Below are 24,964 nucleotides of genomic sequence, written 5' to 3' on the forward strand. Positions count from 1 at the left end.
AGTGGTGGACTGGATAAGGAAAATGTTGTATATATACACCATGGAATAGTATGCAGCCATAAAAAACCCTGAAATCATGTCCTTCATGGCAACATGCATGTAGGTAGAGGTCATTATCCTAAGCAAATTAACACAGAAACAGAAAACCAAATACTGCATGTTCTCACTTACAAGTGGGAGGTAAACACTGGCTACTCAAGGACATAAAGATGGCAACAATAGAAACTGGGGGCTATTACAGCAGGGATGGAGGGGGGAAAGGGTTGAAAAACTATGTATTGGATGCTATACTCTGTATCTGGGTAACAGGATCTATCATACTCTAAGCCTCAGCCTCATGGAACATATCCAGGTAACAACCCTGCACATATATCCCAGAATCTAAAATAAAAATGGAAATTATAAAAAAAAAAGAAATTAAATTGTGAAGAAGACAAAGTATCAAAAGACCTTTTCTGTTAGAGTCTAACAATGTTCAAATTTAGCTTCTTGGAAATAACTTTTAAATAGCTAAGAGCATCAACAGAAAACTGTGGACTACAGGAAAAGAACTGCTTCATATTTCCCGAATCTTCTCAAACTTGGTATCTGCATATCAATGACTTTAGATTTTATTTTTATGTTGCTGTTACTTTTGCTAAGGAAGTATTATGGTATACATAGATACTGTCTATGCTATTTTAAAAAATATCTAGGAAAATACATTAAGATCTGTTTATTATTACTATTAGTGGTTTCTTGTGTATGTGTTGGTTTGACAAGTAGAGGTTGTTTTCTAACCAAAAACATAACAGAAAAGATTTAGTACAGGATTACCTGTGCAGACAGCTGTGACAAAGACACAGGGAGACAAATGAAAATTCAAGCTACTCATGTTTATTAACTGATCTACATTTGACAAAACAAAGATAGGGGCACAAAGAGCTGTTTGACAAAGTCAAATCCCAGGTATCGAACAATAGTATTCCCCTGGCTGCCCTAGAGGGCACTTGTGCCCACTCTGAGGGGGATGTCCTCTGCCATGCGACCGCTCAGTTATCACACTGCACTGCTGTTGGGTTGCATGTGGAGTACAGGTCTGCATGCATCTGACATCAGAGAAGTGGCCCACTAAACACTAAGAGCCCTAGTTCTAGATGTCACAAGTTGATGTTAGTAACCACCAAGTACTAATTCTGTACTAAAATGGTCAGAAAAGATAACAAGCTTTGAGTACTGTGTAAAATTATACCCTTTATAGGGAATAGGCTCTTGTAAGCTGCCTTTTAACTTATTTCCTCCCTTGCCAAAGTCTATTCATTTATGTCAAATCAAGAACATACAGCACAACATTTTCTAAAAAAGCACTTTAACAATGGTCATTAACTTCTCCCTAAGGACTCATGCCTAAGGTTATTTACATAAGATTTGGGATCTTCATAATTTAGGAGAACTTTTAATTCTGAGCTCGGGAAGATATTTCTCCTATTAGACAATAGGACACTCAGAAATACCTGAGGTATAATCACTGAAAACCTTCTTAAAGGCGAAAAAAAAAAAAGATTGAGGTTTCCTATACTGGCATGAAAGTACACATACAATTTTTATCGTAGAAAAGACTAAAATGTGAATAGTGACAAAACATAACAGATAAATTGGGAGGAATCAGCTATTAGGCTCCAATTCTTCTTACTATATTTTGCAGACAATTCTAGTATTATAGAGATTATCAGGATATACCAAAAATGATTTTAGGTAGAAACTTCAAAAAACAGCAAAACCCAGTTTTAAGACAGGATTCCTTTCTAGAGACATTACACAACAGTATACACTTAAGGTGTTTCTGGTGGAACATCAACATCAATGTACTTAAAAAAAATCTAAGCCTGGTTCTTTTTGATCAGATGTGCTTATTTGGCTGCTAATACACCCCCACCACCCTGCCTCCAAAGTGATCATTTAGTCATTAATTATAAAAAAGTATACAAATTATACTCAATACAGAGCACGGCAAGATCTAGTTCAATTTATAGCTTTAAGTAATACACATAAATCGGACAATTTAACGTTGTACTACTCTCTGGCCCTACAGTTTCCTACTTCCTGATGTTTCCTGGAAACTGTAACTGTCCAGGCAACAGAAACAGTAATTACTTTCTTAGGGAACAAATAAAAAATTTTAAGAATTGACTAAAGTAAGCACCCCAGAGTCACTTTATGAAATACAAATTCAAATGGTATTTTTTAAAAGTGAATTGGAATATGCGGGAAATTTAAACAGCAGGGATTCTTCTATTTAATGCCTGCCCCATTCAGGGACACTTATATTCACATATAAACCTGCTGGAATCCTTTCTGAAACTCTACACTCTATTGACCTCAGCACAACTGAGTGAAGGGGAACGAAAGGGAGAGACCATCTTCACCCTTTGTTTTTGTGGAATTTATTTAGAAAAATTTTATTGAGAGATTCTAAAAAGTATAAGAAACTAACAAATTTTTACCACTGCATTCATGTTGGCTTTTTGAGCACATAGCTCTAAGTGGGGGGATGGCGGGGATGCCTCAAAAGGGGAGAGGAAGGACTCTCCTTGGCCTGGGAATAGGTGTGCCTATGGGAACCATAGGAGCAAGAGTCAAGAGTTCTTCAGAAAACTGCCTTTAAGTCAGGACAAAGGAACAAAACATTTGCAAATTAAGCACCAAAAAGATCAAGTAATTTACTTGCCATTTTCATAAACAAAATAATTAGTCCCCTCTCTCATCTTTTCTCTATCATGTCTTTTGTATAAAGACATTTCTTTCTGAACTGCGTGCTGTCTAGACAAAGCCACGTCATCTGATGAGAAGCAGACTTTGCTCAGCAACATTGAGAAAAAACAGATCTACTTCTTTCCATTTCTTAGCCTGTGTCAACTGCTGAATGCTGAAATCTAACCCCAGAGCCTCACTTTGCCATTTCATACAGTTTGAATAAAAAAAAAGAACCTTAGAGAAAAAGAAAAAGCTTTGACTCCCCCATTAAAAAGTTTATTCTCTAATTCTATAAATATCAAGAAGGCAGATGTGTTTTATTTTATTTTACATTAGGAAGAAAAAACCACAATCTCAAAGCAAGCACCCGGGTTTTACTTCAGTTTACAATAATTTAATGTGCCTGAGAATTTTTGTGCAAATACATGTCATCTTTCATTAAAAATATGCATAGCGCACTTTGGAAAAAGTTGGTTTAGTTGTCACCAACTTTTCTTACAAAAAAAGTTTACATATATAAATATACAACATTCCCTAATTCCTATTGATTGCACTTCTGGCTTAACCCCTTCCAGCCTCCAAGGAATTTTTAAAAACATGCAATTATGTTTGTATTCCTTGGCTACTGTACTTATTCAGACGAAATATTCTAAAAACAAGTTTTCTTGGTTTCAATTTACTCACATTTTGCCTCTTAAAAGTAAATCCCTCCCACCCTCTACCCAGTTGTTTTTTTTTTTGGAGGTTGTATAAAAATACAAATTTAAAAAATGAACTTTTATTAATCATAAATACAAAATAATTGAGTGGTATTTGGGCTCCCAGGGGCTCAAAGGCCTGAAAACAGAAAGGAAAATAGGAGTCTCCACCTGTGATTCAATGAAAAAGATGAAACTCCTAATTTTGCTAATGCTGCGAGCATACCATTTGATGGATACATAATTTAACCAGATATTAACAGGGGAAACATATAAGCCATCTCACTATTGTCTCAGTAATAGACTGAGCTTACCCCACCAACCCCTCAGAACGGCTTTCTATAAGCAATAAAACTGCTCCTTTTCTCTTCCCATCCTTCTAACCTGGGTTCTCTCTGCTTTATGCTTACCAGAAGTAAATGTGCCAGCAAGTTCAGTATCTCTGTATGTTTTAGTATTACTGAATTTATTTGTATTCACTTTTTATGTTCAAGACAAGAAAACTCAACTGAAGGAGTATATTAAACCTTTCTTTTCTCCCTCTGAACACTCATGGCCCATTCATTTATACTTTCAATTTGCCCGACTTCCTCCATTAGGGCTCATCCCAATTTTATTTCCATTCCTCCATTCCCCCTTTCACATTCACAACCCTTGTGCAACATTCCTTTTCTCTCAAGTCAGACCAGACCACATGTTTCAGTGCATATCTATCCTTCATGTGCTAACTTGTATAAAAGGTCAGTTAACTGCTGAACCTCAGTCCTCCTTCAGGACACCCATTTTGGGTGAGGATGTGCAAACTGGGGCAGCAAAGCTACCCATTATGACTGGAAGACTCTGATTCCTCCTTAGTCCACCTAATAAACTGCTACCTGAATTTAAATAAACAGCAGAATCTGGTTTTTGAGGACCAATTTCTGCCTCCTGGCATCTTCCATTCTCTTGGGCACCAGGGTTCTTGACCACTCTGGCTATCCCCAGTCTCTTCAGCCTGTCCACTAAGTTCATCTTCAACTGGCCAACATCAGGAGGGTTCCGGGAGGGTCTCAAGCCATACATCTCCTGGAGGAATGTCTCAGCTGGTCGAGAGGCCAAAAAATTTTCAGAGAGATGCACTCGAGGCTCAAAGGGTAAAGGAGAAGGGCAAGGTGAGTGAGATGGTGAATTTGGTGGTGTGGAAGGGATAGCCAGGGATTTAGGGAGAGGCTGGAGGGGGTTCTCTGAAATTGGGCTGTGGTACACTTTGGCAGAGATGCCTCGCTCTTGTAGAAGTTTGGCCAAGCTCATGGTGCTACTGAAGGTTGTAGTGGAATCTCGTCGGTTGGTGATGGACTCACCAATGCTGAGTCTATAGGACAAGGCAGGAGAATTCACAGCCGTGTTGGATGAACTGCTACCGCTACTTCCACAGGATAATGAAGGGAACCCAGAGCTTAAAAAAAAAAAAAAAAAGTGGGAGACAGTGTTTAAGAATAAAAAGCAAGCTCCAAGCTGGCATTTAAAGAAATTATAGTAGTTATCCTTGGTAAATATAAAGTAACAGGCAACAAACACATCCGTAACTGTATGCTGTGGAACAGATCTGGGGAATGAAAATTTTGACATGATACTTCAATGATTAATTATTTGTAATTCATAACTTAGTAATTAACTTATTAAAAGATATTTCTTTTCAGTGGGATATGAAAGGTATTGCTGTACTCTTAGATAACTTTACTCTTAAATTTTAACTCTAAAATGTACATCTGTAGAAATACAGTTAAATTTTATGATAGAAGGCAAAGAAATTTGAAGATTAAGGAAAGTAATTTAGAATGTTTATTCATATATCCATTCCATAAAGTGAGATACATTGAGACAATAATCCATGGGTAAACAGTTTACCAACTTTTAAAAAAATACAATCTTTCACAATTAAACATGAAAACTCTTCTGGGAGAAGTTTCTTTCTTTTTAATCTTTTAATTTTATTTCATTGAGAAATAAAAACTTCTAATTGTTAAATTTCATTTTCTCAAGAAATGTTAATTTCAAACAATAATGGTATAAAAATATCCATAGGATGAATTTTTTCTCAACCTTGACCTGAAACATGTGTTTTTAGGAAATTAAAAATAACTAATAGCTTCGACAACTATTCAGTAATACTTCTTCAGTATTACTTCAGTATTCAGTAATACTACTGAATATACAGAAGTGAAGGTGAGCTTGTGCAGAGGACTGGCCCTGTAAATCTTGCAGTTTGGCTAACTCCGGGTATATAGCCCCAGCTGGGTTATTAGTTGTCTGCCCTAGGACCAGTCACCTCAACCTTCCATGCCTCGGTTTACTTTACACAATACATACTTGCCTTGCCTACTTTTATAATAATCAAATGAGAAAATTCTTATTCTATGCTTAGTCGAAAAGAAAAACTAACGAATCATGTACTTGAGGAAACAGTGATGAAATAGAGATGGTACTTCTTTAGCCAATTTCCCTGCAAAACAAATGTTACCAGTATTTAATAGATCAACTTTCACTTCAACATAAAATACTCAATATATTAAATATCAAGATATCAAAAATTTTAAAGATTATGAACAAAATGTAAGCTTAAAATTAACAAACTTTCTAAAGCACCAACTTGTATAGGAACAGCAAAATTCAAATGAGTTTGACTCCCTGGTCAAACCAGTCCAACTAAAAGCCTCTGATATGGAACAGTCTATATATTGTATTCCCAGTCTCTAAATCTCCCTATTTCTACTAGACTCTAGAACTGCCTGTCCTTACCCAAACTGTACACTTCATATAATGGCATCAACCTGTATTAAGAGTCTCCTCAAGAACCAATTTTGTAAAACTTGTTATCTTGATGACTATAAGAACAATGTAGAAAAAAATGCAGATTTTTTTTGTTACAGACTTTATTGGGATCTTTAGTGGATATCATCCAAATGCTTCCGTAAATAATCCATTTGTTTCTATTTTATAGACATGGTGGATCATAATCTTATTTCCCTCCACACTGGCAGCTAGAAAGTTAAGACTCAAATACATGGCTAACCTTAGCAAGCTAACATGGCTAACATAAGACTTTATGGTACAATTTGCACACTAGCTTTATTTTTTTTACCCATTTTATATCCTTACTCTTGATTCCCCTTTGCAACATCTTTCTTTTCTACTTCTAGTTAACATTATTATTTAATGCACTTAAAGTAATTATAGTAGTTATCTTTGGTAAATATAAAGGAACAGGCAACAAACACATCAGTAACTGTACACTGTTACATGTTCTACATATCTTTAAAAGCTACCTTAGATCCTTTTGGGAATTGTTAGGATAGAAATGGCATCAATATGGCTTAATAAGGGACTATATATTAGAATATTCAAGTTCTAGCCTATGTAGTAAATAATTTGGCCTTGCCCAGAGAGGTCTGGCCTTTGCCCTCTGCTCCTTGGAGGCAATCTATGTCACAACTAATAGGAGTGTCTTTGGCTAGAGTGGAGGCTGATCACACTAAATCTTAGGGTGAGCCAGGCCACACCCAGTAGTCTTAGGGTGAGGAATGGCCATGCCAAAAAGACCAACCACGTGATTTAGGGTAGGGCCTTTGAGTCATGCAGTATCAGTTGGCCAGAAGACTGAGTTCAACTCTGTTGAACTGAGTTCAATCAATCATACCTACACAATGAAGCCTCAATACAGACTGTAAACACTAATACTTGGGTGAACTTCCCTGGTTGGTAATATTCTGTGTGTACTGCCACATATCAATACCAGGAGAGTAATGAATCCTAAGGACACGTGTAGAATTCTCCAAGACTCTGCCCTATGCCTTTCTTCCTTTGGATAATTTTAACCTGTATTCGTTCCTTGTAATACAGTAGCCACAAGTATAACAACTTGCTGTGAGTTCTGTGAGATCTTCTAGCAAATTGCTGAACCTGAAAGTGGTTTTGGGAACCCTCTGCACTTGCAGGTGTTGTCAGAAGTGAAGGTGAGCTTGTGCAGAGGACTGGCCCTGTAAATCTTGCAGTTTGGCTAACTCTGGGTATATTGCCCCAGCTGCGTTATTTATTAGTTGTCTGCCCTAGGACCAGTCACCTCAACCTTCCATGCCTCAGTTTACTCTACACAATACATACTCACTTGCCCTGCCTACTTTTTTAATAATCAAATGAGAAAATGCAATGTGAAAATATTCTAAAGACACATTATCACAGAACATTAATTAACATTCTGGAAATTAAAATGAAGGTAATTTTAAAAAGAAATTCATGAAAATATAGCTGAGGAAAGAAGTGAGGCCCCAGATTTCCCAGGCACTCTTACCTGGGGGTAACCTGAGTGATGTCAGAGGGATGTAATATTCTACAGGTGGTGAAAGTGAATGTTGAGTTTGTGCACGACAGGCACTTTCCTGGGTTGGCGGTTGCAACTGAAATAGATTTTTAGGGAGCAAATACAAGATTGAAAGTCTAGATTAATAATGTAAAAAGCTCATCATTATTTATTAATAATATAGCATTTATCAAGTACCTTTTGTATTAAAAATCCCCAAATCTGGAAATGAAATAAATATACATAAAGATTGTACTAGTATCAACTGGTTAGTATATAGGTGAATCCAATACTTTAAAACTGTAAAGCAAAAGGCATAAACAAAGATTAGAAATGAGAAAACTGAAAAAATACATTAAAAAAATCAAGATCTAGTATCCAAATGATTCAGCCAAATTTATCTACTCTAGTGGTTCTCAAAGTGTGGTCTGCAGACTCTGTGGGAGTCTACATGTCAAAGCTACTTTCATAGTAATGGTAAGACAGAGGCCTTTTCTTTTTGACTGGGTTGACATTTGCACTGCTGGTGCAAAAGCAATGGAAGGCAAAATTGATGGCTCCTCAGCACAAAACAAGGCAATATCACCAAGTTGTACTAGTCTTCTTTATTGTTATGCACTTGGTATTTTTTAAAAAGCCATATTCACTTAAGAATGTCCTTGAAGTAGCAGTAAAAATTATCTATTAAATTTTGGATCTTGGCCGTTGAGTCTTTTTCCTGTTCTGTGTGATGAAAAATGGGAAGGATGTATTAAGCACTCTTGCTGCACACTGAGATACAGTGGTTATCTAGAGGAAAACACTTGTGCAACTGATTTGAAATTTTCTCATGGAATACCATTTTTACTTGAAAGAACTAACAGACAAACTATAGTAATTCAGACTTGGGTGAAAGACAGACATGTTAAAAATGAATGAAGTGAGCCTGTCCTTCAAGAAAAACAGCTAACAAAATGTGAGCTTTCAAGAAAAAGTGAGTTTTGGAAAACTCGTATCCACCACTGAAAGCATGAACATCCTTGAAGACTTTTCTGATGAGTAGGTGGTGATATTAATATGATTTTAATATTTTTACGTAATAAAATGTGCCAATATTTGGAAAATCTGCATAACTCCATGAACCAATCAACATTTTCTAAATGACCAACGCATGATCTTAAAAATCAAGCATGGCTCAAAGATATATTCAAAATGTAGGATACGACCAATGCATTTAATTTAATTTTTTTTTTTTTTTAGTAGAGACAGGGTTTCACCATGTTGGCCAGGCTGGTCTCAAACTCCTGACCTCAGGTGACTGCCCACCTCGATCTCCCAAAGTGCTGGGATTACAGGTGTGAGCTACCACACCCAGCCTGACCAATGCATTTTAATGTTAACAAAGTAATGAAAAGTTCATTGTTAGGGTTTCAGATCTCACATTGCTACAAACGTTCAAGAAACTACTACTTACCTAGTTTTAGTGTAATATCAAAAAATAGCTACACATATCTGAAAAGACTATTAAAACACTCTTTCCAACTGCATGTTTGTGCCTGGCTGCATTTCCTTCATATTGTTCAACTGAAACAACATATTGCAATAGACTGAAGGCAGATGCTGATAATGAGAATAAAGCTATTTTGTATTAAGTCAAAAATTAGAGACTTGAACAACTGTTTTTCTCACTATGTAAAAAAATTAGCTATTTTTCATTAAACATATTTGTGTAACACAATTATTTTAAATGAGTTAATACATATTTTTATGGTTTTTCAGTTTTGATTTATGATATATTAAATGTCAATAGATATAACCTGCACAGATAGGCTCTCTGGAATTCTCAATGATTTTTTAGAGTATAAAGAGTTTCTGAGCCCAAAAGGTTTGTGAACCACTGACTTGAATTCATCCAGCTCTCTACCCAATCTACTAACGCAGGCTGGCTAAGATAAAGTGGAGAGAATTAGGAATGCCACTAATGCTATAGATTTTCATTATCTGATATGCAAGATTAAGTACCCTCCAGTGAGCAGAGGTAGCCAGCTGACTGTCTAGTAAGTCAGAATGCAAAGTACTTCTGGTTATTATACCATATTCAACCAGACACTCTTCTCACCTGTAACTGGTCCACCTGCTGAAGTAATGGGTGGCAGGAAGATCCCTGTTACTGGCTTGGATGTTGAAAGTTTCTCTTCCACTTCAAGAGGTTGCTGAACCTGAAAAGTAATACCCTCCTCTTCATCCTCTTCTAAATCTGAGATGTGATAAATAGCATCCCCGGGCAACTGGGTAAAGCCTTTAGTAATGACACCTGGTCGTGGATCAAGGATGGTTCCCAAGTTTGGTTGAGCAAGCTGCTGCCAGTGATACAGAGTTTGTGATCCTGAATATGCAAAACAAAGGAAGGGGAAAGGCATGTTTTACATTTCCCACAAATCTTAAAACACAAGCTAAAATTATATGTGTAATAACAATAATGACAGCAATAAAACTATTTATTTGGTGTTAATAATTTGGTAAAAGCTGCAAATTAAAGTTTTCAGTGGAAGATGACAAGATGTCAAAGGTATGAGTCATAATCTGTTTTAATAGTTAAGGAGGACACCTAAAGGGGTGAAAAAAAACCCAAGGAGACACCCTTAATAGGAAAGGAGCTTAGCTGCTGAGGCAGTGATGGAAGATACGTGCCTAAGAGGTGGGCTGTATTTTCCCAGGTGACAAAAAAGTCAATACTTCTCTGGCCTGGAACTATGCCTATGAAGGTGAAAGTCAAAAGCCAGGCTCCCAGGGAGAATAGGAAAATGAAGAAGATAATGAAAAGGAGGATATGTTCTACTGGTTCCAGGCTACAGAACCCTGGTGAATGATCATCCCAAGTAATTGCACCAGATGCAATGTCTAATTATGTCACTGTAGTCATTTCATCCTAAAAATGGCAACTCCAACAAATATCTGCACTGATCATTAATGAATACAACTAAGTTATAAAATCTTTGAGTTTGAGGGGTCTTTATAAGTTACACACTCAAAATTTCATTTAATGCAGAACTCTTTTAGGATAATATCAGAGAATCATTCAATGATTGTCATTGTTCCAGAAAATGAAGGAATTTATTTTGAATTCAAGCTCTTTCTTAGGAGAGTATAGAAACTAAACTGAAAAAAGGAAAAATACAGGTACACACACACCTCTAAGTCAATTATACTTTTGGGTAAAAAACTCTTTTGAAAAGGAAGGTGGAGATGAATTATTATCTCTAGATCATTATCATTTATCATATCTTATTCATCTAACCATGGAAACTGCTGTCAATGATATTCCTTAGCAAAGGACAGAAAAAGATTACTCCTCTTCCCTGCTCACGTTTATATTAAAAAACATCAGAAGAGAACTGCTGGCTGATGATTCAGAGAATGCAACTCTCTTCATTCATTAATTTTCCACAAAGTACTACAGTCTTGCCACCCAAACAGCAAGATTAAGGGATAAAAAGATCATCTGCACATAATGTTCCTATAATTAAGACACAAATCTCAATTCCAGGGAAAGGAACTTCCAGTAAGTCACATGGCTTAGTAAGGGCCCTTACTGATTTATTACCTTCAAGGGGCTTGACAATTTGTAATTTTTCTGGCATAAAACCTCGAAGGCAACTGGCACTGCTGAGGTCTGTGATCTCTGACTGGGTGGTGCAGAGAGAGGCAAGGCTCTCTGTCGGGGTGACACAGCCACTAACTCCTTCCTTCTGGTCTGCCAGAACCTGGATCTTCCGCTGCCATTCTTCAGCAAAGAACTGCTTCTCACTTAAATAGTTTTGTCGACGCAAGCTAAGGCGATGCAGTGCTGTAGCCAAATCACTATCTCCTGAGGGTCCTGGTTGGCCCATCTTCTGGGAGCTCCTATAGGAAAATCGCGTTCACTGATTAGATCTTGAGGATCATCAGCATGACCCAGACCTCTCCTTTCTATAATGGTAAGCATTCAAGAGACTGATATTAAAAACATGATATTTTCCTAGATACCTGGAATATAGAAGTAATAACAACAAACCAAAATCACCAACAACACTATATATCATTTTTACAGATCATTGCAAATGACTTGAAAGGCAAGATAATACTTTATTGATATTCTGTGTTTTCTGAATTTTCTATTTCATTTAATTTATGAAACTACACATTCAACCATCTATAAATTCATATTAGGTGGTCACGAAAGTAAATATTATATTTTGCTGAATCTGTATCATAGATTGCAAGAGGTACCATTATTTTATGTATCATAAAGAAGGAAAAAAACGCTACGGATTAAACTAAGGCATACTATCAGTTACAAAACATAATAATTTAAAAAATATTAAAATATGAAAAAAATTTGCTTTGGGTCACAGAATCACCCATCAACACTGCAGAACATTTAAAAGGAAACAACAAAATTTGTATATAATACTGCATTTTTATAGTTGTCTGATGCCCATTTTTTGACTTCAACACTTTTGAAACTGGAAGCTATCTTATAATTGATATCAAATGGAAGATCAGCAAGCTGAGTTGTGGGTACTCTGGGATACTGGGGTATAAATCCACATAAATGTGTTTCAGATCTTCTCCTAAGATAATTGTGTGACAGTGAGGCAGTAGGACACAAAGCTGCTGTGGGTGCAGAACACTGCCCAGGACAGACCAGGCAATGCAACTGAAACCTAGTGTGATGAATTTTTATGTTAGGAAACATTTCCCTTTGGTGCCAAACATCTATCTTGCAAAGCTTTCAGCTCACTTTTCAGTAAAGTTGTTTACCTTCTAGTTATATAGAATTCAATGTACTGAATTAATAAAAGGAATGAAAAAAAAATCCAAGTTTAAATAAACAGAAAATCGACAGCACCTCGATGGTCCTCAAGATGTATTCAAACTTACATTTATCCTAAAAATCACCAAAGCGGTTGAGATTATGAGCACGGATTATGAGAAGGTGTCATCCGATGTATTCATGCTAGTGACCAAACAGATTCAAAAAAATTTGACTTTGGCATGATCTGTCTCATGAATAATGATACAAGGCATCATAAGTGAAGGAAAACTGACAGTTCCAGAACCTTCTTGGGACAGTAGAGTAATGCTGGAATGTGCGTATGTGAATCTGGTGCGGCAATGTGAAAAGAAATGCAGAATCACTGTTATCATCGGATTCCTACCCTGCAACCTCCTCTGAGCTGCTCCCCTGGTTCAGGAGTGATTTGTCCTCTGTTTGCTGAAGACCAGACTCAAAAGGTTTTGCTGTCATGATGACACTTGAACGGTTGGAGCCTGGAATGGGTAACAGAGCTGGGAATGAGATAGAGCGGCCCCGTGTGTCATTGGCAATCCTGACGGTATCAAATACCCGCTTCTGTTGGGCTCTGTCAAAAAAGGAAGTGTTCGTTATTATCACTGCTAGCCACTAAAGCATCTAGAGAAGAGAATGTATGTGCAGTCCATCAGAAATAAAGCCACCCTGAGGAGCTATTTAGGAGAAATCATCAGAAAATAAGCTTTCAAACAAGAGAACTCTCTCACAAAAAAAGGACACTGTGAGGAAAACACTGAATAGTAAGCAAATTACTACTGAATCTCGTAATACTTGCCACTTTGGATTGTGGCTTCTTTTTAATTTCTATTCCAATGATTGAGTAACAACACATGTGACCTGTACTTACTTTTGTTTAAAGAGAGAAGATTCCTCATCCAAACTCAGCTTTTTACGCATAGTCCCCTCAATCTCAGCTGCCAAAGATTCCTAAGAAAAAGAGTTTGAGATTTCTAAAGTGATTGTTGCCCTTAAATTAACAGAGTCTCTACAATCCTATACTTTTGGTTTTATAATAAAATACAAGGAAATAGTCAAGGCTAACATTCAGGGGAAAAAAGACATTCTGGAAATATAACTTTTAAATAAGAACCAACTACCTTTTCATAATCTTTTCAAATAGGAAAGTAGTGGAAAAAGCTGATATGATAAATAGAAAATATATGTGCAGGCACACAAAAACAAAAGGTCTGAAAGGCCATAAACCCAGTGTTGACAGTGATGCTGTGGAGGGTGAGATTTAATGGTATTTAACAATTTTTTTTTTGCTTTTCTGTAATTTCTAGCTTTTCTATAATAATCATGTATAGCTGGCCGGGTGCGGTGGCTCACACCTGTAATCCCAGCACTTTGGGAGGCCAAGGTGGGTGGATCACGAGGTCAGGAGATCGAGACCATCCTGGCTAACATGGTGAAACCCTGTCTCTACTAAAAATACAAAAAAATACAAAAAAAAAAAAAAAATTAGCCGGGTGTGCTGGCGGGCGCCTGTAGTCCCAGCTACTCGGGAGGCTGAGGCAGGAGAATGACGTGAACCCGGGAGGCAGAGCTTTCAGTGAGCTGAGATCGCACCACTGCACTCCAGTCTGGGTGACAGAGCGAGACTCCGTCTCAAAAAAAAAAAAAAAAAAGTAAAAACAAAAATACCAACAAAAAACAATGTATAGCTTTTATAATATTAAAAAATCACTTAAAAAAAAGAACAAGCAAGCTTCCTCTTCCCCCCAGTCAGGGATGAGGACTAAATCTAGTGTTGACAGTGATTCTGTGGAGGGTGGAATTTAATGGTATTTAACGATTGCTTTTTGCTTTTCTGTAATTTCCAACTTTTCTGTAATAAACATGCATAGCTTTTATAACATTAAAAATCATTTAAAAAAAAAGCAAGCTTCCTCTTCCTCTGGTCAGGGGTGAGGACTCAACTAATATGGGTGACATGCTCAGTGGGACTCAGCTGAGGATGACTGGAATTGGAGGCAATGGTGTGAACTCATGATTATATATATTTATATATATATGGATGAAAACATATATATACACATATATAGTATAGGTATAGGTATGAAATACATATATTTCCTAGTCCTACCTGCTGAGAGGGACTAGAAGCCACAATACTCTAGTAGCAATCAATGGGCACACCTAACACCCAGATCTTGGATTCGAAATACAATTCTTCAATAAAAGTAACCAGAGCTCTTTGGAGAAATGGCTGATTCCAGGGCTGAGACAAAAAGTACAAGATCAGCTTAAAGGAGATCCTACTGATCATATCTAGGACAATCTGAATATCCTACATACAGATTGAATATACAACAATAGCTTGTAATCTATTGAATAAAATAGAAATCCATGAGTCCATGACATACCTAAGTGAACAAATGAACAAATAAATGGGACAGGAATGCACTAACTTACAAAAGAAAAATGCCAATTAATAAATGTTGAAAAATGATGAAATTTGAAAATCACCATTTGGCAGTCATCACTGTAATAACTCTGCCAGATAAGAACCATCAATGGGTGCTAAAACTAGTGGGTAATAGTTTGATGAGGAACAGGATACTTAGTCTCAAAGTATCTCTCATAAAATGTTTACTTTGATCACTTGGTTGGGGTAGTATCTGCCGATTTTCATCACTACACGGTGAATTAGTAGTGTTAATTTAATTAACTGTTAATTACCGTTAACTTTACAGTGGAAAAAACCAGCAGATTACCTTAACCAAGAGATCAAAGTTAATTAATACCACCTGCAATGGGCTAAACAGACATTATGCACCTCTTGAAACCATGCTCTGAGAATATGGCATGATTTCTGCCAAGAATGCATTACTGGAATCTAATCATGAGGATGCATCAGACAATCCTAAACTGAGGACATCCTACAAAAGTCACGAAAGAGAAATAAAGACAGAAGAACTGTCCCAGATGGAAACAACAAAATTCAATGTATCCTTTGAAGGACATTAGTGAGACAACTGGAAAAATTTGAATGGGCTCTGTGGATTAGATGATAATACTGCATAAACATCAACTTCCTGATGCTGATGGTTGTAGTGCGTTTATGTAGGACAGTGTCCTTAAGAGTGTCCAAATGTCCTCGTTTTTAGTAAATACACACTTAAGTACTACGGGGTAATAAGGTATATCAGCAACTTACTGTTAAAATAGCCCAGGGGGAAAGAAAGAGAAAGAGAGATTGAATGATATGGCAAAAGCAATAATATGTTAAAAACTGAAGAATCGATGTGAGGGATATACAAAAATTCTTTATACTACTCTTGGAACTTTACTCTAAGTTTAAAATTATTTCAAACATAAAAAACAAAATTATGCCTCCCTATTTTTAAGAAAATCTACTAAAATGTATAGTTTCAGTCTTTTAAAAAAGTTCACAGGATTGCACAGAAGTTTAAGAATCAGATTGTTAAAACAACTCTTTGAACCAACATTACAAATTCTAATATAAACTCAGAAGTTTTTATTAATTTTTTAATACAAAAATACCATTTATAAATGAATCAAACAAAGATGAATCTTGTTCTCATGAAGCTTACATTCTAACAAGTTAAAAATATCAGGAGACTCAAGATTTATTGAAAGAGGTTTTAGATATTCAAAGCACCACTTAAGTAAGTGGCAGGCTGTGGGCCTAGGGTAGGATGACCCAAGTTTAACTAGTTCTATGGTACACAGTCCTAAACTGAATTTCCTTAGGGCTCATCTTATGTATTATTGATACAATATATCTGGAAAGTCACCTGTTAGAATAAATAAGAGTATTAAGGAAGATGTCAATATACAAATTAGGGCCTAAATCAATAATTGGAGTCCAGAAACAAGGAAAAAATCTCTTCTCCAGATGTTTTATACCATCATAAACCATCAAACTTTTAGGACAAACTAATCTTAAACAAATTTCTTTAAATACATAGCATCTTTCTTAGTTGCTTACCCCAGTAAAAGCTCCATATGATTGGGAGAAGTAGAGATGAGCAGTAGGGCCAGATCTACTACGAAGTTCCTTTATTTCTTCTTGGGATTCATGTAACATTCCTAGACACTCCATATTCCTGTCTTGTAACTCGTGCAGCTAAAAGAAAGGATGGTAGTGTACTTTATTGCCTTCCCAAAACAACATTAGGGAAAAAAAACCCGAAACCTTTTGGGATAAGTATTGATTTTACCCAGAGGGCTAGCTAACTTTATGAATATCATTTCAATACAAAGACTAAAACAAACTAAGCAAGAAGCGTATATATATATATTGAGCTACCAGAATTAGGGAGGGGTGTCTTGGCCAAAATTATACACGGATGTGACTTCCTGAAAGTCTGAAACGTAGCTAGACTACCAGAACTGTCAATTTAATATTGAATGCTTCATACACTTAACAGAGGAAGTATAACAGCTACAGTCAAGTTAGGTTTAGTATAATATTAATCTTTTTAAACATCACTCTGAAGTCTGTAAGTGACAAGATCAAGAGCCTACAAAGTGTTATATACAATGTCAGTGTGCTCAATCCTCCTAAACAAGTAGATCTTCGTGCCTTGTTTCAGAACCTTCTTTACAACTAGATATACACATCTGATAAAAGAGTACATAATTTTCAGAGTATATTTTAACTGTAAAATTTCTTCAAGTGCAGTATATGCCCCAGTTCATCAGAATCACCAGGGTTGAAGATGCTTATTAAAAATGCAGATTCTAGGCTCTCACTCCAGACCACTTGAAGTAGAAGCTCTTGGGATGGTGCCTGGAAATCGCCATTTAAAACTTGCTCTCCGAGGTGATTCTTTCCCCCTCCCTCCTACAAGATATCACTCTGTTGCCCAGGGTTGAGTGCAGTGGTGTGATTATGGCTCACTACAGTCTCAATCTTCTGGGCTTAAGTGATCCTTCTACCTCAGCCTCTCAAATAGCGGGGACCACAGGCGTGCACCACTACACCTAGCTAAGTTTTTGATTGTTTTGTAGAGACGAAGGTTTCCTTATGTTGTACAGGCTGGTCTCAAATTCCTGGGCTCAAGCCATCCTCCCACCTTGGCCTCCCAAAGTGCTGGGATGACAGGCATGAGCTACTGTGCTTGGCTCCAGGTGATACTAATGCATGCTAAAGAATCACTAAGTTATATTTAATAAATAAAATTTTATGTAGATAGAAAGTAAGAGATTTTTTGCTTCTTCTCCTGACACACCTGCACAAAGATTTACTACTAGAACTTATCTTATTTTAAAAACTGTTGAGCTAGTTTAGGTCAGCTGGTAAAAGAGTGATATACTCCTAAAGAATCTTATAAAGTTGAGGTTTTCCCTATTAATCAAGAAGGATGTTACCACGTTACTAGTTTTAGGGACAGGACTTTTAAAATGCTTTATTCTTTTTCTTTCTTTTTTTTTTTTTGAGACGAAGTCTTGCTTTGTTGCCCAGGCTGGAATGCAGTGGCACATCTGGGCCCACTGCAATCTCTACCTCCTGGGTTCCAGTGATTCTCCTGCTTCGCCTCCTGGGTAGCTGGGATTACAGATGCCCACCACCATGCCCAGCTAACTTTTGTATTTTTATTAGTGATGGGGTTTCACCATGTTGGCCAGGCTGGTCTTGAACTCCTGACCTCAGGTGATCCACCCACCTCGGCCTCCCAAAGTGCTGGGATTACAGGCGTGAGCCACCACAACCAGCCAAAATGCTTTACTTCTTAGATCTCATAATATCATCTTAACCTTTTGTTGTTGTTTTTTAAATCTGGTAATTCCCCTTTAATAATTCTTATTCATGAAGATGAAAGAAACTAGTCACTCTTTCCCCTCCTGAATTACACAAGATAAAGATTTCATTACCTCCATTGTCAGTTGCCGTTGGGCATCTTTGGAAGCTTGCAGGTGAAGTTTTAGTTCTTCCTTCTCAATCACATGCTAACAACATATTAAAAAAGACATGTGAAGCCTTTCCAAGTAAAATATAGCTATTCTCTTTCTTATAAAGACATGTGAAGAATTTCTCTCTGGGGTATCATCTTAAAGCCTACAAAAAGCTAACCTTTCAAAAGCTAAATAAGATAGGCATTCGAATACAAAATCTATCAAGGTGTTCAGAGGACAATGGGCATGAGTCAATAATTTACACCACTTTCTGAGGAAGCACTAACCCCATTTTACAAAGAGAAATAATGACTTGAAAGTATTTATTCATGATATCTTATATGACATAAAGATGATTAAAACAGCAATCAGATTAGGGCATTTTAAAAGGGCAGGGACAATGTTTATTTTGTTTATTGTATCTAGCACTTAGCATGGTGCAAGATACTATGTGAGTGCTTAACAAATATCTGTTGAATGAATGAATAAACCTACTTCTTTAAGTTTGTGCTGAAGGTCTACAATCTGTGACAAAAGAGAGGAAAGCTCTTCTTGGTATCGAATCAGCTCATCACTCTTCCCTGACAATTCTTCAGTCATTCTGGACATCTGAGCATTTGTTTCACCTTGGAAGCAAAAAAAATTTTTTTAAATTAATACAAATGTAGAGAAGGAGTTGGCAAACTATGACTTGTGAGCTAAATCTTGTTTTATAACAAGCACTGGACTGTCGTGAATAGATTTTTCTTAAACATAAAAAAAAATCCAGAGAAACCAATAGAGAAAAATAAAAGTTCTTCTGAAATAGGCAAATGCTGGGAACAGAATAGGAGACAATGAAGCTAAAAAGAGAGACGACTTATAAAGGCAAGCAGGCTAAAGGTTTTGCTTCAATCGTTTTCTTTATGAAAACGATATTTGCTCAATCTTTTTCTTTATGAAGGAAAGAAGGCTGAAAGGAGGGCAAGTGCAAAGAGATAATCTCATTCATTTCTTTGAGAACTCTTTAGGGACATAAAATCCCACAAGCAATGAAAATTAATCTTAACAAATCTAACAAAGGAACATTTCCAGAATGGAACAGTCACAATCTATAACAGAATGTGATAAAGCTACGGAAATGCTTCTGTAGGAGACAGACTTTCTGGCATACCCCTTTCAGGGATATGTGGCAAACTGAGTAAAGCCTCTAGAGCAATTGTTATAGCCTGGCCTTCTTACATGCACATAAAATAGAGCCTTTAGAATTCCACTAGGAATTTATTCACTCTCTATCTCATATGAAAAATTTGACATGTAAATACAAGCAGAAAAGCTACTTCTCAGTGTCATGTAAAGCTATTTTAAAATTGACAGATAGCCTCTAATATTTCAAAGGATGGCGATACACAGGCAGGAGATCTGGATCTGAGAGCTCTTGGGCAAGTCATTTCCTGTATTTTAAAGTGTAAAAGGTGGGTAATGTTTTCATGGTGGAGGAGAAAATTCAATTTACATTCCTTCCGGTTCTCTAGTATTCTGCTATTCTAAGATATCACATTTTGAAGCCCATAGCCCAAATGAATTGATGTGATATTTTCATATCATTGTTTTCAATGTAAAAGGCTATATACAGTAGTCCCCTCTTATCTGTCGGGAATACATTCCACGACCTGCAGTGGGTACCTGAAACCACAGATAGTACTGAACTCTATACTGTATATATTATGTGTTTTCCTACAAATAAATACCGATGATAAAGCTTAATTTATAAATTAGGCACAGTAAGAGATTAATAACTAATAATAAAATAATTATAACAATATATCAGCACACTTTGGGGCCATTACTAAGTATAATAAGGGTTACCTGAACACAAGTACTGCAATATTGCGATAGTTGACCTGGTAACTGACGGCTACTAAGAGATGGTTACTAAGTGACTGAAGGCAGGTAGTATATACTGCGTGGAGATACTGGACAAACGGATGATTCATATCCTGGGAAGTATGGAGTAGGATGGCACAACATTTCATCACGCTACTCAGAATGGTTCGCGATTTGAAACTCATGAATTGTTTATTTCTGGAATGTTTGATTTAATATTTTCAGACTGCAGTTGGCCACGGTTAACAGAAACAATGAGAAGTGAAACTGCAGGTAAGGGACAACTGTTGTATTTATGGAGAAATTAAATTTATCTTTCTCCAGTGAAGCCAATCTTTTTCCAACTGACTTGTTTTAAAAAATTGGTTAACATTACCTCAAACTAAAACACATTCCTTTAAAGAAACATAACTGGCACTTTATACTCATTGATTGTTAGGTTTTATGCCATCATTTAAGCCCTGGCTCTGCCACTTACCAGTTTTCTGACTTTGGCATATCATCTTCCTCTACAGGACTATTTCCTCATCAACAATATGAGAGCTTTGGTTCCTTTCACTCTAACATGCTATAACTTACTTACAAAACATAGGTCTGTAATGATAATTGCAATTTGAAACAAATATATTTCTTAAAAATACATATGGTATCTTATTTAGGGTTGTAGGCTCAATGTGATATTCTAAGATTTTCAGTAACCATTTAAAATTGTTTCTTGAGATGCTTCTACTGAAACCAGTGATCTAACTTCCGAGGTGGAGATACCCTACCAAAGAATTGTCCAAAAAGGTACAAAAGAGAATATGTTAATACTCACGAAGTTCTTTAACACAGTCGCTGACAAGCTGTTGTTCCTTTTCTTCATAGGTAACAGTTTCTGTCTTTATGTGACAAGCCTTCAAGAAAAAAATCAGTATGTGACAATACCTTCTAGTGATTTTATAGAAATAACTACAAAAACCTTTAATTCTCATTTGAAGACTAAATTTCATCACTTACAAAGGAAAAAACCCAACAACCTGTTCATACATCTCTACCTGGCTCATCCCTGGCCTTGGCTAAAATGATCCTTGCTTAAGTAGGACTTCCTTGATGCCCATACTATACAAGTTCACAGAATATTGTGATTTTCTGAGATAGTTCTTATCACAGTTGTAACTACTTAGTTACTTGTGTAAAAGTTATCACAGTTGTAACTACTTAGTTACTTGCGTAAACTCCACAAGATACATTTTCTATCCTGTGACTTTCACTATTGTACTGTCAACCTGCTACTATCCACTTTTCAGTGGGATCTAAGAACAGTGGAAGGCAAGAAAAATACAGCTCCTTGTCCACGACTCTCTAATTGGAATGCCAATAGCAAATCCTTACTTATGCCATATTTCACCTCAATAGTACCTGGACCTGAACTTTATAGCCTTTAAAGTAAAGGAAAATGGCAATTAGGTTGAACGTACCTTGGATCGAAGAGCCATATTCTCTTCTTCCAGTTCCTTGAGCTTTTCTTGCAGCATTTCCAACTGCAGCAACCCTTGAGATAAGCTAAAGGACTCATTGAACCGAAGAGGTGTAGAACAGCTGGAATCAGTTTCACTTTCTTCAGAAGCAATGGAGACGATTCGAAGTAACTCATCTTTCTTGCATAGCTCATGCTGCAGCTGATTAACCTGTCCATATAAAATGCTTGATTTTCATGTTCTTTATTTTGCATTATTTATAGCAATATAGCTTCTAATTCATGGAACAATTATTTTTCATCACAAAAGAAAATCACAAAATCAGCTGCTAGGTTTTACTGACTAACGCAACAAGTACTAAAAAGAGAATAACAAACCCCAGATACCTCCTAAGTTACAATTTTAGAGCATTAATTCAACAGTACAGCTTTTTTCCCTCCTAGGTGAGAAGAAAAGCTAATTTTCTTATTGTATATATATGATAGGAATATAGGAGAAAAATTCACGTAAGATAATAATACATTCATAGTTGAAAACATGACAAAACTGAAGAACCTTCAAAGTATCAGAATAGATCCCTACTTCAAACTCTTATCATAAGGGCTTGTAATTTTAAGATGTATATCACTGTGCATGTCTTCCTAGGAGTACTGATTTTAGTTCTCGGAACAAATAGTTTCAACCTAAAGGCTCAAATGCTATCATCCATAATGCATTCATAAAATACAAACGAAACCAGATAAAAATAACAAGTTACAGAAAATTTGAAATGTAACCATCCAAGTTAATAATAAGTCAGTTCTCACTACAAACGTTTATTGCTATAGAATAAATATATTTTCAAAGTTTCTTTTTACTTTCTTCCTTTGTTTGGTTTTTGAATAAAGATACCCACATATTTGGGTACCTATTTTTTAAAAATAAATTTCAGATAAGATCACACACAAAGTCTACACAAAAGGGTATGGATAGTTTTAATATCTAAGCAGGGTGCCACAGGTATTACAGATACTTAATATAGACTTTAAGTTGACCAAGGTAGTTACGTGAGTTCTCCTCTGTACAATTAACATTTAATTTCTCTACTGATTAGTTTAATGGACACCAACAAAGTGAACAAGTACTGGTGTTATTTATCTATTGCCATCATTTCAGGGACACCTAGGAAAATAAATTTTCAATTGCATAAAACCTAATTATTTCATACTGCAGACATTTGATCAAAGGCTTACTTGATCAAAGGCTTGTCCCAATTGCTCCTCCAGGGATTCGTTCTGCTCAGATAAGACATGGTTCCGCTTTAAGAGAGCTTGTCCAATTCGAGCAGCGAGTTCCAGATCACGATCCCTCTGTTAAAATACCAAATACACCTTTTCTTTGAGTATAAACAAGGTTAAATGGCAGTTCAGAAATTTTGTGGTCAGTTTTGGTAAAATCAAAAGCAACGTCCTAGAAAGCATCAAGATTCATTCATTCATTAAAATGAATAAACACAGGGTCTGGCACACAGGTAGTGCTTTAAAACGTTGGTCAAATGGATGACCACCACTGTTCTAAATGCAAGAGGACATCTCTTTTCTTGATATCAAGTGAGATTTATTGATCATCCTAGTAAATTAAGAGTCTAGCAACCCAAACTTTAAACTTACAATTTTGGGGAATTGGAAAATCAACATAGTCTTTAAAAATGAGGATAGGGTCTGTACAGTAAAAGCTCAACAAATATTTGTTGAAAGCAATTGTGTATCAAGCATGGTAATGATACAGAATTAGGTATTTAAGATATGGATCAGGTACGTATGTAAAAAAAGAGTTCCATTTAGGGCAAAGCTTATGTGCATTCAGCAGCTTAGAGGGAAGTGCAGCCAAGAGCTCTGTTGTCAACTGGTTCAAGAATGATGATATGAAATAAAACAGGAGATAAAAGACTGGAAATTTTGAGGCCACAGGATTCTGCCTAGAGTATAGAGAAGAAAGAAGTCTCAAGAAGCTGGTGGTAATGCAGGGAAGTCTGTAGAAAAGTCAAGCAATAGGCTTCCACCCAGAGTTATTATTTCTGGGCAGATAGTGATACTTCGCAAGGGCATAGGAATTCCATCTGTGTGGTAGTGGTGAAGACTGTATTCTATAGGATAGAAAACTGTCAATATACATCTCACTGCCTTATATATGATCTGCTTACAGTAATTATTATATAAATAAAATTAAGCTTCTATCCTTTCTCTCCATAGGCATATGAAAATGGAGGGATTATCTCCACATTTTTAAGGCTCATTTTAAATAATCGCTAAATGGCATACATAGAAATCATTCTGGAGAGCTGGGGGGAGAGGGGAGAAGGATATGTTAAAGAAAGACTGTCTTCCATAAGATCAACTGAAACAGGTACAAAGGGAGACCTCTACTGATTGCCAACTAGAGGAGATACACTATACATATTAAAAATGCCATAGACAAAGTGAGCTCAAATCACAGCCCAAACTAAAAGTAAAAAAGGGGAGATGCTCCAAACTGCAGGTATTGATTTGCAATGATAATGATACTGCTTTCTGAATGGGCAGCTCTGCTGTAGAGTAAGTAACAGCAGGCATTATTTTAAAATGATTTTTTTTTTAAGATTAATGCTTTTCTAGGAAGGGGAGGCAAGTCAACACCATTAAATAAATAAATAACTAAAAATCCTGTATAGCATTACAATAATAAACTTTAGGAAACATTCTACTTTGAAATGTCAGTTGTTCCAGTAGCAACAACCTTATACAAAATAACCCAGAGCACGTACAACATTTTCCATTTGATGTGCAAATTTGATAGATTCCAAATGATCCTCAAGTTTTACCTTTTTGTACTGGAGAAAGAAAAGATATTCCTACCTCTGCCAGGAGATGTGTAACCATGTCGATGTCATTGTAAGTTTTGGTCATCTGCTCCACCCTGTCTGTGCCTAGAACTAATATAGTTAAAAACAACTATTTATAGGCTTTAGCAATAATGAAAAAATTTAAATATTAATAAGAATTGAGAGATAACAACAACAAAAACCCCAGCCTTTTACAAAAAGTCATTCAGGAGAATAAAAATATATGTGAAAAAAAAGAAATGTTTCATGTATTAGACACTCAAGAAATAGTCCAATCATTACAAACGAAGTGTATACCACACAATAATTAAG

The 24,964-nt window shown here is 36.3% G+C and overlaps 1 protein-coding gene across 3 annotated transcripts in view; it reads right to left on the minus strand.

Annotated features, from left to right (window-relative positions):
• Nucleotides 1-854: 854 nt before the first annotated feature.
• Nucleotides 855-24,964, minus strand: part of TRAK2 (trafficking kinesin protein 2) — a 74,252-nt gene continuing 50,142 nt past the window's right edge. For 2 of the 3 annotated variants that reach the window (NM_015049.3, XM_047445578.1), the window contains exons 4-16: nt 24,666-24,742; nt 23,025-23,141; nt 21,793-22,002; nt 21,150-21,228; nt 18,962-19,092; nt 18,446-18,520; nt 16,557-16,694; nt 13,449-13,528; nt 12,948-13,151; nt 11,351-11,649; nt 9,866-10,132; nt 7,759-7,864; nt 855-4,866 (exon numbers count right to left, since the gene is read on the minus strand). In NM_015049.3, coding sequence (NP_055864.2) covers nt 4,191-4,866; nt 7,759-7,864; nt 9,866-10,132; nt 11,351-11,649; nt 12,948-13,151; nt 13,449-13,528; nt 16,557-16,694; nt 18,446-18,520; nt 18,962-19,092; nt 21,150-21,228; nt 21,793-22,002; nt 23,025-23,141; nt 24,666-24,742 — 2,459 coding nt within the window. In that variant the 3' untranslated portion in view covers nt 855-4,190. The remainder of the gene's footprint in view (nt 4,867-7,758; nt 7,865-9,865; nt 10,133-11,350; nt 11,650-12,947; nt 13,152-13,448; nt 13,529-16,556; nt 16,695-18,445; nt 18,521-18,961; nt 19,093-21,149; nt 21,229-21,792; nt 22,003-23,024; nt 23,142-24,665; nt 24,743-24,964) is intronic. The other variant, XM_047445579.1, reaches the window with a different exon arrangement.

Source organism: Homo sapiens, chromosome 2 (assembly GCF_000001405.40).
Source record: "Homo sapiens chromosome 2, GRCh38.p14 Primary Assembly".
Classification (NCBI taxonomy): domain Eukaryota; kingdom Metazoa; phylum Chordata; class Mammalia; order Primates; family Hominidae; genus Homo; species Homo sapiens.